The 12042-nt window shown below is 47.1% G+C and overlaps 1 long non-coding RNA gene across 1 annotated transcript, besides 3 other annotated features; it reads left to right on the top strand.

The window, feature by feature from the left end:
* Positions 1-425: 425 nt before the first annotated feature.
* Positions 426-4346, top strand: LINC02684 (long intergenic non-protein coding RNA 2684). Its single transcript, NR_183661.1, has 3 exons — positions 426-1012; positions 2252-2509; positions 3047-4346. It is a non-coding gene; the product is annotated as a long intergenic non-protein coding RNA 2684 (long non-coding RNA).
* Positions 549-698: an enhancer, noted in NCBI's record as "active region_5776". NCBI's record gives its function as "activates an Ori minimal core promoter by ATAC-STARR-seq in GM12878 lymphoblastoid cells {active_cell/tissue: GM12878}" and the evidence as "EXISTENCE:reporter gene assay evidence [ECO:0000049][PMID:35858748]".
* Positions 779-828: an enhancer, noted in NCBI's record as "active region_5775". NCBI's record gives its function as "activates an Ori minimal core promoter by ATAC-STARR-seq in GM12878 lymphoblastoid cells {active_cell/tissue: GM12878}" and the evidence as "EXISTENCE:reporter gene assay evidence [ECO:0000049][PMID:35858748]".
* Positions 7361-7862: an enhancer, noted in NCBI's record as "H3K4me1 hESC enhancer chr11:134938655-134939156 (GRCh37/hg19 assembly coordinates)". NCBI's record gives its function as "activates a minimal SCP1, AML or CMV promoter by ChIP-STARR-seq in naive H9 embryonic stem cells {active_cell/tissue: H9 hESC(naive)}" and the evidence as "EXISTENCE:reporter gene assay evidence [ECO:0000049][PMID:30033119]".

Raw genomic sequence — 12042 nt, 5'->3', positions numbered from 1 at the left:
CTAACCCTAACCCTAACCCTAACCCTAACCCTAACCCTAACCCTAACCCTAACCCTAACTGATCTCTGACCCTGATTATTCAGGGCTGCAAAGAGGAAGGATTTTATTCACCGTCGATGCGGCCCCGAATTGTCCCAAACGAAGGCCGTGCCTCCAAGGTCTGTGCTGAGAAACCTGCTCCGCCTTTGCGGTGTCCCCCGGGTCTCTGCAGACGAGAACGCAGCTCCGCCCTCGCAAAGCCGCCGCGCCGGCGCAGGCGCAGAGAGGCGCGCCGCGCCGGCGCAGGCGCAGAGAGGCGCGCCGCGCCGGCGCAGGCGCAGAGAGGCGCGCCGCGCCGGCGCAGGCGCAGAGAGGCGCGCCGCGCCGGCGCAGGCGCAGAGAGGCGCGCCGCGCCGGCGCAGGCGCAGAGAGGCGCGCCGCGCCGGCGCAGGCGCAGAGAGGCGCGCTGCGCCGGCTGTCTTGCTCGCAGTATAGTGGCGGCAGGCCGCCTGCTTGCAGCTCGGGAAATTGCAGGGCCCTGTTGCTCGCAGTGTAGGGGTAGCACGTCCGACTGCTGGCAGCTGGGGACACTGCCTGGCCCTCTTGCTCCAAATGTATTGGCGGGTGGCTCCCCTGCTGGCAGCTACGGACAGTGCTGGGTCGTCTTGCTTGCAGTGTAGTCGCGGCACGCCCCCTTCTGGCCGCTGGGGTCACTACAGGATCCTCTTGCTCATGATGTGGTGCCCCTACGCCACCTCCTGGCAGCTAAGGACACTGCAGGGCCCTCTTGCTCCCGGTGTGACGGCTGGCGTCCCCTACTGGCCACCTCCCGAACAAACTCGGGGCGCCAGTTATTAAGCCCCATCAGTTCTGTAAATTCAAACTGAAACGGAGCTATTACTGGGGAGACCTGATGTCCCAATTCTTAACTTGGAGGAAAGATTTTCACTTTCCTCCAAGAAACACTCTCTAAGAACACAGCACTCAGAAAAGCCAGCCTGATACCTAGATTACACGGTTCACAGCCTTACAGGTTAGTAAGGAAGGTCATTTCCTCGTAGACCCAGGAATTTAGGGATATTTTGGGGACTTCAAGAAGACAGGAATTCACACAAAGCTATAAGGACTGCAGCTGAAATCTGAGATTCTGTATGAAAACTTCCAGCAAAGAAACCTGAAAGCACCTACCTGGTCATCTCCTGTTCTTGCTGCACTTACATAAATAATCAGGCAAAATCTAACAAAACTAGACTTATTTTTAAAACAAGAATAGTCTTACTTTGATTATGATAAAAAATGATGGTTACTTGTTACTTTCTGTGCTGGGTGAGCATCTTTAGTTTTTGTTCTATAAACCTACTAAAGACAATGAAGCATTTCCAAACAATGTGCTACAAATACAGGTAAAGTAAACTTAATATGTGATTAGCCTTAATTATGAAACCACAGAGTGTCTCCTAGTGTGAGTTCTGCTGGGACACAGAAACCCACCCATTCCTGAGCCTTGGAGCAAAGTTACCTCCTGTTTTGCCTGTTTTGTATAAAGCCTAGAAATACAGACAAACTTAAAAACATTTGTCTTTTTGAGATTTAGGTAAAAAAATTAGTAAATTTATTGCCCAGTATGCAGTCATATACCATATAACAATGTTTCAATCCATGTCATACCACATATATGATGGTGGTCCCACAAGATTGTAATGCTGTATTTTTACTTTACCTTTGAAATGTTTAGATAAGTTCAGATCCATAAATAGTTACCATAATGTTACAGTTGCCTACAGTATTCAGTACTGTCATGTGCTGCACAGGTGTGCCACCAGAGAGTGACAGGCTCTACCGTATAGCCTAGTGTGCAGTAGGCTGTGCCATCTAGGTGTGTGTAAGTGCGCTCCATTGTGTTCACACAACTATGAAATCACCTCCGACACATTTCTCAGAATGTATACCTGTCGTTAAGTGACAGGACTGCAGTTGTAAAAGATGCAGGTCTGAGGATTCAGGGTCTCTCCTTGCAACTCACAAGGCTGGCTCTAGAAGGCACTCATAGCACACAGGAGAGAAGTAACCCGTGCACATAGAGAGAAATCCTGGAGATAATGCTTGGGCTGTCTCCAGTGATGTTAAGAGCAAAATTACAGCTGCCATTTACCAAGTGCTTCCCAGGCACTGTGCTGACTGCTGAAACATACTTTTTGTTTTTGTTTGTTTGTTTGATGTCATCAGCAGTATAGCTTCCTTGGAAGCTTTCATTAATGTTCTCATTTTGCAGTAAGAAGAAACTAAGTCTTAGCGATAACCAAGTGGCAGACGTGGCAGAAGAAAAATTTGAAACCAGGGCCACATTGAGCCTGCAGGCATGTCTGGCCTGTTCTGAGGACAGACATTTCAAGCACAGAGAGGCACAGGAGCACTGTTTGAGCCTGGAGCTTAAATCGCGAATCCAGAGAGCCCTCTCTGAGCATGCGTTGTGCCCAGAGTTGGTTTCATGTGGATCAACTCAGGCTTCTATGGCAGGGCCACAGACAGGGTAAGGACTGGGGCTTCCTTATTCCTGTGCCTCCCAGTGGGCAAGGAGAAAGGGCCCAATGCCTCCCTCCACTCTACCCCTGATGCAGGATCCTGGGAGGGCTGGGGGCCCAGGCTGGGAGGGGGTCTTGATCTGGGACCGTCCTGCACATCCTGGCCCCTGGGTTCTGGAGGCAGGCAGAGGCAGCTTCAGGAGTGCTCCAGTTTGGTCTCTTCGACTCATTCTTACCCTAGCCCTGCACCTTCCCTCAGCCACGGTCTGGCGACCTGGGGCTTCTCAGAGGCAAGGGCACAGACCTGGAGGGTCTCTTTACAGAGATAGCAGTCACCTGCCTCTCAGACTCTTGCAAGGATTAAAAGGAGCAGTCTCAGAAATTCCTGGCACGTGGTGGAAACTTGGCAGACTTGTCACCTCCTAGCAGGTCACATAGGAAGACTTGAGGGCACGAGCTGGTGACACATCTGTTCTCGCCTCCCCAGCCCACCCACCAGCGAGAACTCACCCTCGGCTAACTCCAGTCTTTGCACTGCTTTTCAGGGCTATTGTCTGGCTCGTCTTCAGCAGATGGAGCACAGCTGGTCTCCTGCACACGTGGCTGCTGATCTTGCCAGTGTGAGAGACAACTTTCAATTATCATAAGCATCTGCATCTGCCCAAATTCAACCTCAGTGATCTGTCTCAGTAGTGTTTTAAACAGAATTTAGGACTGAGCCCACTACTCCAAAGGCAGCTGTCCCACTGCCTCTGGGGTGTGACTCCCTCTCCCATTTTTTATGTATCTGTGCACCGAGCCCTTCTCGCTTCTCACCCTCTGAGACGCCTGTTGTTGAAGGGAAGCTCTGAGCCTGGTGGGCTCTCTGCTGCCTCAGAGGAGCAAAAAGTCTGTGGTCTCCTGGTTCCAAAGTGTGGGGGGTGCTGGAGAGGCAGGTGCCGCTGAGATGCTGATCAGTACCCAGTGAGGAAACATACGGCCTCCTGAGAGATGCGGCTGAGCCCAGTGGTGCCTCTTGCCCACGACACCCTGTTTTCTGTCTCGTGCACCACTCAGTTTGGACTATTAAACATGACAGTGGATAGGAGCTGGGGGACTTTTAATCCAAGCACATGCTTCTCTGTGTGGGTGCTTCCTCTCAATCCTCCTGGTGTGGAAGTTCTCCCTGGTGTCTTGCCCCAGAACTTCCTGCTGCAGTGAGAGTCTGCATGTCACAGTTGTGTCTCTTTAGGGAGCCATCTGCCCTCACCTGTTGGATTACTCAGAACCTTCACATGCTCCTTCATCCCATTTGTGTCTCACAAACAGGGGTCTGGGCTGGCAGTCTATTTTGTCACCTGTTCCCTCCTCACCAGGCTCCTGGTCTCTCCTGTCTCCATTTGGCTGCCCTGGTCTAGACTCAGTGTGCTAATCACCATTTGTCTAATTAGTACTGTGGGACCATCACAGGATAAATGGCACAGCACTCACCATTGCAGACTTGTGCCCAGGCCCCCAGACACCTGAGTTGGGTGTCCTTTACTGCCTTACATAGAAGCCTGGGCTCCGAGGTTCAGGGACCTCCCAAGGACCTAGGTGTCACTACATGTGCTGCTGCTGACTGAAAGTGCTGACGGAGTTCATAAGCTAGTCAGGGGCCGCAGCTTTAAGGCTGGGTTCTGGTCACAGGCTGCCTTCCAGGTACCCAGGAGGAAGCTGGGGGCTTGTGTGTGCTGAGGAAGGGACCTGAGGCAGAGGAGAGGGGTTGCCTTGACAGTGCTGTGGCACACATGGCGGAGTCCGAGGCAGATCTTATGGATGTTGCATTTATTGCAAAATTCTACAATAAAGACTTTTAAAAAGTTCTTTTAAGTATATGAAGCACATTATTCCATTCTCAAGCTGGAAGTCAAAGTGGATCCAAAGAATGACTCCCGTATTCTTAATACATGACTAGCCACATGGAGTGACATTCCAAGCCAGAACCGGAAAACTACTCCCCCAATGGCAACGGAATGTCTTTGTGAAGAATCAAGTATTTCAGACTCGAGTGTTACAAGCATTTTCAGAGTGTGTCTCAAACAAGGACACTGGGGATGGGCCTCGGACAGTGCAAGAGGGAACTGTTGCCAGGCCTGGGAGGAGCCACTCATGAACACAGGGAGGGTGTGTGTGTGTGGAGCGGGGCAGTAGACTCAGAGTTCTCACTGGTAGCATATTTCATGGCACAGCTGGGCATAGAAATCATAATTTCTGGGCACAGAAATAAAGAATTTGTATTATTTTCTTCTCTCTTTTCTCTAATTCTCACATTTTTTCTTCTCCCCTCTCCTTTCGTTTTTTTCAAACTTTCTCCTCCTTCTTCTCTTTATTTCTCATCTTTATTCTCTGTCTCTCCCATATTCTTTTTTAAATCTCTCTTCTCTCCCTTTTCTCTCACCATGTAAAGAAAGAGATGCTGAGAACAGTGACTCATGCCTATAATCCCAACCATTTAGGAGGCTGCTGTCAGAGAATTGCTGGATCCCAGAAGTTGGAGACCAGCTTGGGCAACAAAGCAAGACCTTATCTTTACACAAAATAATTTTTAAAAGTTAGCTGGGCATGGTGGTGCACAGCTGTAATCCCAGCTACTCAGGATGCTGAGGCAGGAGGATTGCTTGAACCCAAGAGTTCAAGGCTACAATGAGCTATAATCATGGCACCACATTCCAGCCTGTGTGAAAGAGAGAGGCCGTGTCTCAAAAAATAAATAAAATAAAAAACAGAGGGGATCTTGCTGCTGTGTGTGTTTTTCTATCACTGAATGCTACACCTGTGTTGGAGGCTAGCAAGAGGAGCTGAGAATGTCTGAAATGCTTCAAATAAAAGAGAAGATTAGGAAGAAAAAGTCAAGAGCTTTGTTCTACGGAGACCTTATTGGATCTTCCAAGATGGCAAATTATTTCGCTGTGAATGATAACTGATTGTGTCTGAAGAAGTGAAGGAGAGATTAACTGGTCCAAGTCCCCTCCTATCAGCAGACAGTAGCTCAGGCAGCATCAGGGATGGGGCAGTTTTCTGATTTGCCATGGCTTATCTGTCATCTGTGTGTGTAGCCTCACTGGGAGGATCAAATGGAATTTAAGTGCTAACATCCTGTGTGCTCAGAGCCTTGTGAGGACACACACTGCTGTTGGAACCCTGTGGCAGCCAGCCTTCAAGGTGACCCCAGTAATCCTCCTTCCTGATCCCCATGCCTTGGTGTCTCCCCTTCCTCATCAGACAGGACTCAGCCTTGTGACCAATAGAATACTGTGGAGAGGACGCTAAGGCTGAATCATAACAGGCACCACTGTCTTCCCTTGGCCTTTCTTGGGTTGGTGGCTCAGGGGGGCTCTCTGCCATGCCCTGAGGACAATGAAGATGTCCATGGAGAGATGGCATGGGGACAAGCCAGCACTGCCTCACTAGCCATGTGAGGAGCCACACTGAAGGAGGTTCCTGCAGCCCCAGTCAGACTCAAAGAGGCCCTCCCAGGACGGGGAAGACTCTTATAATTTCACAATTCTCAATCTTTTCCATATGGAACTGGAGAGGCAAAGTATTTGCCTAAAGTCTTTCAGTGAGTTGGTGGCTAAGACTAAAGTAGATCCAGGGAGGGGGGGTTTCTCTTCAGTAGAGGACATTCATCCATTCAGCTTTAATTAATGAGCCTATTATGTACCAGGCACTGGGGCAGGCACCTGGGTTTTTTGAGATGATAGAAACAGTGACAACAGTTCCATTGTGGAACTTACAGTCTGGTGGCAGATGCAAACTGTAAATAAATGAATAAAAACATAATAGCTAACAATGGGAAGTGTTGCAAGAGAGGTCAGGAAATAGGGAGGAAGGATGCAGTGAGACTTATTTTGAACAGGAGGGCGGGATGGCCTCTTTGGTATAGTGACTCACCACAGCCACCCTGAATGGTGAGGAGGAGACATGCAGGGAGAGGGCACCGTGTTCGCATTCCTGAGGGAGGGAAGAGCATGTGTGAAGATGCTGAGGCAGGAGAGCTGTAGATTTCAAGGAACTGAATGGTCACTGCAGCTGGACGCCAGTGACCTGTGGAGAAAGCTTATGTGATGAGGTCAGACTGGAAGGGAGAGGCCTGACTCTGTAATGCCTTACATTCCAGGTGTATCAGTCAGGTTCTGCAGAGAAACAGACCCAACAGGATTTATACATGCATGTTGTATGCAAGGGTATAACATATGCACATATATTTGTATATACATTATCTATTTCTCTATCATCTACCTATTTATTTAGACAGAGAGATTGATTCAAGAAGTTGGGTTACATGATTGTGGGGGCTGGAAATTCCAAATTTGGCAGAGCAGACAGGCAAGCTGGAATGTCAGGCAAGAGTGATGCCACAGTCTTGAGGTAACTCACTTCATCTCCAGGAAATCTACGTCTTTGCTCTTAAGAACATTAAACTGATGGGATGAGGCACACCCACATGGGTAATGCAATCTCCTTTTGTTAAAGGCAGCTGATTATAGATGTTAAACACATCTACAAAATATCCTTGCAGCAATACCTAGATTAGTGTTTGACCAAATGACTGGGTACTATAGCCTGACCAAGTTGACACATAAAACTAATCATGACACCAGGTTGAGCAATTTGGACTTAATTTGAATGCAATAAGCTACTTATCTGTCTTAAGCAGAAAAGAATGCTGTGGTCTAAAATGTTATTTGAGTGTAAGTTTGACTGGAACCAGAGAGAACAGTTGGAAGGCTACTTTAAGATCTTTGCATAATAACTAGGGCTATTATGGTAAAGGCGGCTGTTGCTTAGAGGTGTGAGGACTTTTAAGATACGTCTGGTTGTGGGCGCCTGTGGTCCCAGCTGCTCGGGAGGCTGATGCGGGAGAAAGGCGTGAACCCGGGAGGCGGAGCTTGCAGTGAGCTGAGATCGCGCCCCTGCACTCCAGCCCGGGGGACAAAAAAATAAATAAATAAATAAATAAAGATATGTCTTGGAAGCAAGTTTGACAAGAATTTATAGATTTCAAGTAAGGGAAAGAAAAAGGATGGTGTCAATAATATATTCTTATTCAGGAATCAAGCAGCTGGTTGGGTAGCAGTGCCGTTTACTGAGATAACAAAGACTTAAGTGAGGACAGAATGGTGAGAGAAAGAGGCATTCAGGACGCCTTCACTGGGAGTGCCTGCGAGCTCCTCTTCCTCCAGCACATCTGTAGGGTGGACCATCTAAAGAGGGCTGGGTCTGGGAGGGAGGCCAGGCTCTGCGCACTGTTGGCAAGTGGATGATCTAAATGACATGGTAGGGATGTTATCACCAAAGGAAAGGCGCGGTGTGGAATGGGGATCCGGGGCTGTCCTCCCAGAATGCCCCACAGAGGCCAAGCTTTTCCTTGGAGATCCTGGTGCCCCCTTTGATCCTTCAAACAGGACTACAGTATTTACTGTGCTGCTGTCAGTTTCCTGGGTGGAGATACACTGCTCTGGCCTGGCCTTCAGTCGGCAGCAGGGGAACAAGGCAGAGTTCACAGGAGGAGACCATTGCTCATCAGTGCTAGTGGCCTGCCTATAGCTCCAACGTTATTTTATTTAAAACAAATTATTTCCCAGGGCAGCTTGACAATTGTACATATTAATTGCATTTGCATACCATGCTCCCTTCAGATCAGAGCAATCTATATTTATGATTTGGAAATTGCTCACTGAATAATTGCACATGTAAGTCACTTTTGTTTCCTTGCTTTTATTAAGTCATTATATTATTGCCTGTAATTAGCAGTGAGAGAAAATAAAATTATTTTACAAATTAAATAAAATTATTTATGAATACGGTTAAGGCTTGTTACCTCTTCAGCTTTCTGTCTTCACTCCCACTGCTGATTAGTGCATGTGGTACCACTGAGCCATAGCAGCCACAAACCTCCCTCTCCGTAAATCCAGGACATCCCTGGGAGCAGAAGTGTCCAGGCCTCCTCCGTGTGTGTTCCCCATGGAGCCCAAATGTTCTGAGTTTGCTCAGATGCAACCTGCCTGCCTCCACTCTTGCCTGACTCTACACACAACACATCTCATCATTGAGGTGCAGTCTCGTGGATCACAACATTAAAAACCATCTAATTTTGTTGTGAATTGGGTATTACTCTTGCTATAAACAACATGGGCACAACATTTTTTAAATGAACCTATTTGCTTTTCCTTTCCTTACCCTTTAGATCTGCACAAATTCAACAACTAAAGTTCATTAAAAACTAGCTTCAATTCAACTCACCAAACAAAACCGACAGACAGAGCGGCTCAGTTGCTGTAGCTGCAGCAAGCTGTGTCTCCAGGCTCCTCATTAGGGCAGCTTAAGGCTGCATGTGCTATCTTTCCTCACCCTCAGAGGATCTGATACAGTTGGCTAAAGTTTATTAAAAACTTCAATATGCCTCTCTTTCTCAAAAGATAACTAGATTTGCTAATGATCAAGTTTGACATTTCACCTTTCAGAGTCTGTTTCCTTATTAGTAAAATAAGGTATTTGGACTGAATTTCTGGCTCTAATCTAGGAGTATCCTTTAGAATCCCTTGTGGTGTTTTGTAAATGCACCACTGTCCTGGAACCACCACCAGAAATTGGAATTTTGTAAAATTTGAGTGGGAGCTGTGCGCACGTACGTTTATAAATTTCCATGGTGATTCTCACACTTATGCAGGTTAAAAAACATCAGTCTGGATCAGTGGCTTTTCACTCTGCTGCTCATTGTGATTACTTAAAGAGTTTTTAAAAATGGTAATTCACAGGTCTCACAACAGACTAATTAAATTGAAATATTTGAGGCGCCCCATATATTAACACTTTGAAGATCTCTCCAGGTCACCCTAATGTGTAAAGTTGAGAACTGGCAGCCAAGATCAGTGATGTTATCATCCTTAGACCAGATACATACAGAAGATGGGATAAGCTTTGAGGAACCTTTACAGCAATTTGACATTGCTGCTACCTCCAACTAATCAGGGATTTTTTTTGCTTTTATTATCTTTTGTTTTTCAATTATTTCTTTACATTTAAATTTATTTTGGTTTTACTTTTTTCTAATTACTCTTCCTTGTTTGTCTTATCTTTGTTTTTCATTATTATGACATTTTACAGTCTACGATCGATTGTAAATTGAGATAAACATGCAAACAAACAACTGAACAAGCAAAACTTGGTCCCACGGCCTGCTCTTGATAAACTTGGAGCTCCCCTCCAACTCTTGAGCCTCTAACTGTGGTCAGGCTTGACGGCTGGCTGCAGGCAACAAGACAATCAAGGAGGACAGTGCCCCGGGGTACCCAGAAGCAGGTGTTGCTGGCTCAGCCCCACTTTCAATGTGTAACCTGCCAAAAAGGCTCCTGATTTTCTGTTGGGTAAAGAACCATCAAGAACCTTCACTATCCTCCAGGATTTTGAAGGAACAACTAAGGAACCTTCCCTCTTTCAGTCAAATGATGAGCAACTCTGGCTAAACAGATTTCCTTATCCACAAATCTTGAGCTTGAAATGGTTGAGATTTATGTGTTCTGACTATGACAACCCCTCAAAGACACTGTCATTGGCTGCTCAGACCCAGATTCCTGGGGCCACTTGTCCTTTTATGAGCCTGGGTCTCTGAATGTTTGCTTCTGTCGGTGCCTCTTTATCTCTCCAAAGCCTTCTCCCACCTTCAAATGAAGAAACTTAACTGGTATTCTCAGCTTGGAATGTATAATATTCCATAAGATGTTTAGCCTTATGTGATGAAAGGACACCCTGTCCTCACGTTTTCCTTACAGAGCTCCAGGGCATAAGGAACCCATAGACTTCTCCTTGCCTCCTCAGTGGGCCTGACTCTGTGCAGAGAAACTCAAAGGAGGTCTGATGGGATGACCGACACTTCCTGCCCAGTCTGAACAAAATTTCTGAGAGCACTCCAGGGCCCTGGTGAAGCTCACGGAGGTGACATCTGACTTCTGCTTCCTCCAGATCCTTGCCTCTGCCCGTGTATCCCCAGCCTCCTCACCCTCCCCACAGGAATTCATCTTTCAGGCTGCTTCTTAGTCCTCCTGTCTACAATGAACTCAAACAAATTTACAAGAAAAAAACAAACAACCCCGTCAAAAAGTGCGCGAAGGATATGAACAGACACTTCTCAAAAGAAGACATTTATGCAGCCAAAAGACACATGAAAAAATGCTCATCATCACTGGCCATCAGAGAAATGCAAATCACAACCACAGTGAGATGCCATCTCACACCAGTTAGAATGGTGATCATTAAAAAGTCAGGAAACAACAGGTGCTGGAGAGGATGTGGAGAAATAGGAACACTTTTGCACTGTTGGTGGGACGGTAAACTAGTTCAACCATTGTGGAAGTCAGCGTGGTGATTCCTCAGGGATCTAGAACTAGAAATACCATTTGACCCAGCCATCCCATTACTGGGTATGTACCCAAAGGATTATAAAACATGCTGCTATAAAGACACATGCACACGTATGTTTATTGCGGCACTATTAACAATAGCAAAGACTTGGAACCAACCCAAATATCCATCACTGATAGACTGGATTAAGAAAATGTGGCACATATACACCATGGAATACTATGCAGCCATAAAAAAAGATGAGTTCATGTCCTTTGTAGGGACATGGATAAAGCTGGAAACCATCATTCTCAGTGAACTATCACAAGGACAAAAAACCAAACACCACATGTTCTCACTTATAGGTGGGAGTTGAACAATGAGAACACACGGACACAGGAAGGGGAACATCACACACTAGGGCCTGTTGTGAGGTGGGGGAAGCGGGGAGGGTTAGCATTAGGAGATATACCTAATGTTAAGTGACGAGTTAATGGGTGCAGCACACCAACATGGCACAGGTATACATGTGTAACAAACCTGCACGTTGTGCACATGTACCCTAAAATTTAAAGTATAATAATAATAATAATAAAAAGAAATGTGTTGATCGGAAGAAAAATACAGGTCTGCAGATCAGGGACTGAGCCCTCTCTCCTTCATCTGCCAATCCCGTCCCCCAGAACCCCACACAGTTGGGCAATAAACTCACTGCTGTTAGAAAGACCTCTCCATTGCTTTAGGAGCTGAGCAAAGGCTGCCAGGGCAGGGGTGAGGAACAGAGGCTTGAGAGAGAGACAGAAGGCACTCAGCTGTTTCCAACCTCAGAGAGGGAGGAGCTGAGATGAAAATTGTGCTACTCCACCTCAATAGCCTGCAAAATCCGTTCTCAGGGGCAGATTGCAGTGGCTCACGCCTGTGATCCCAGCACTTTGCGAGGCCGAGGTGGGCAGATCACCTGAGGTCAGGAGTTGTAGACCAGACTGGCCAACATAGTGAAAGCCTATCTCTACTAAAAATACAAAAATTAGCCAGGCATGGTGGTGCACACTGGTAATCCCAGCTACTCAGGAGGCTGAGGCAGGAGAATTGCTTGAACCCAGGAGGCGGAGGTTGCAGTGAGCTGAGATTGCGCCACTGCACTCCAGCCTGAGTGCCAGAGCGAGATTCCATCTCA

This window comes from Homo sapiens, chromosome 11, assembly GCF_000001405.40.
Source record: "Homo sapiens chromosome 11, GRCh38.p14 Primary Assembly".
Lineage (NCBI taxonomy): Eukaryota > Metazoa > Chordata > Mammalia > Primates > Hominidae > Homo > Homo sapiens.
The sequence above is the reverse complement of the archived record's forward strand: the minus strand, read 5'-3'. Positions and strand labels throughout refer to the sequence as shown.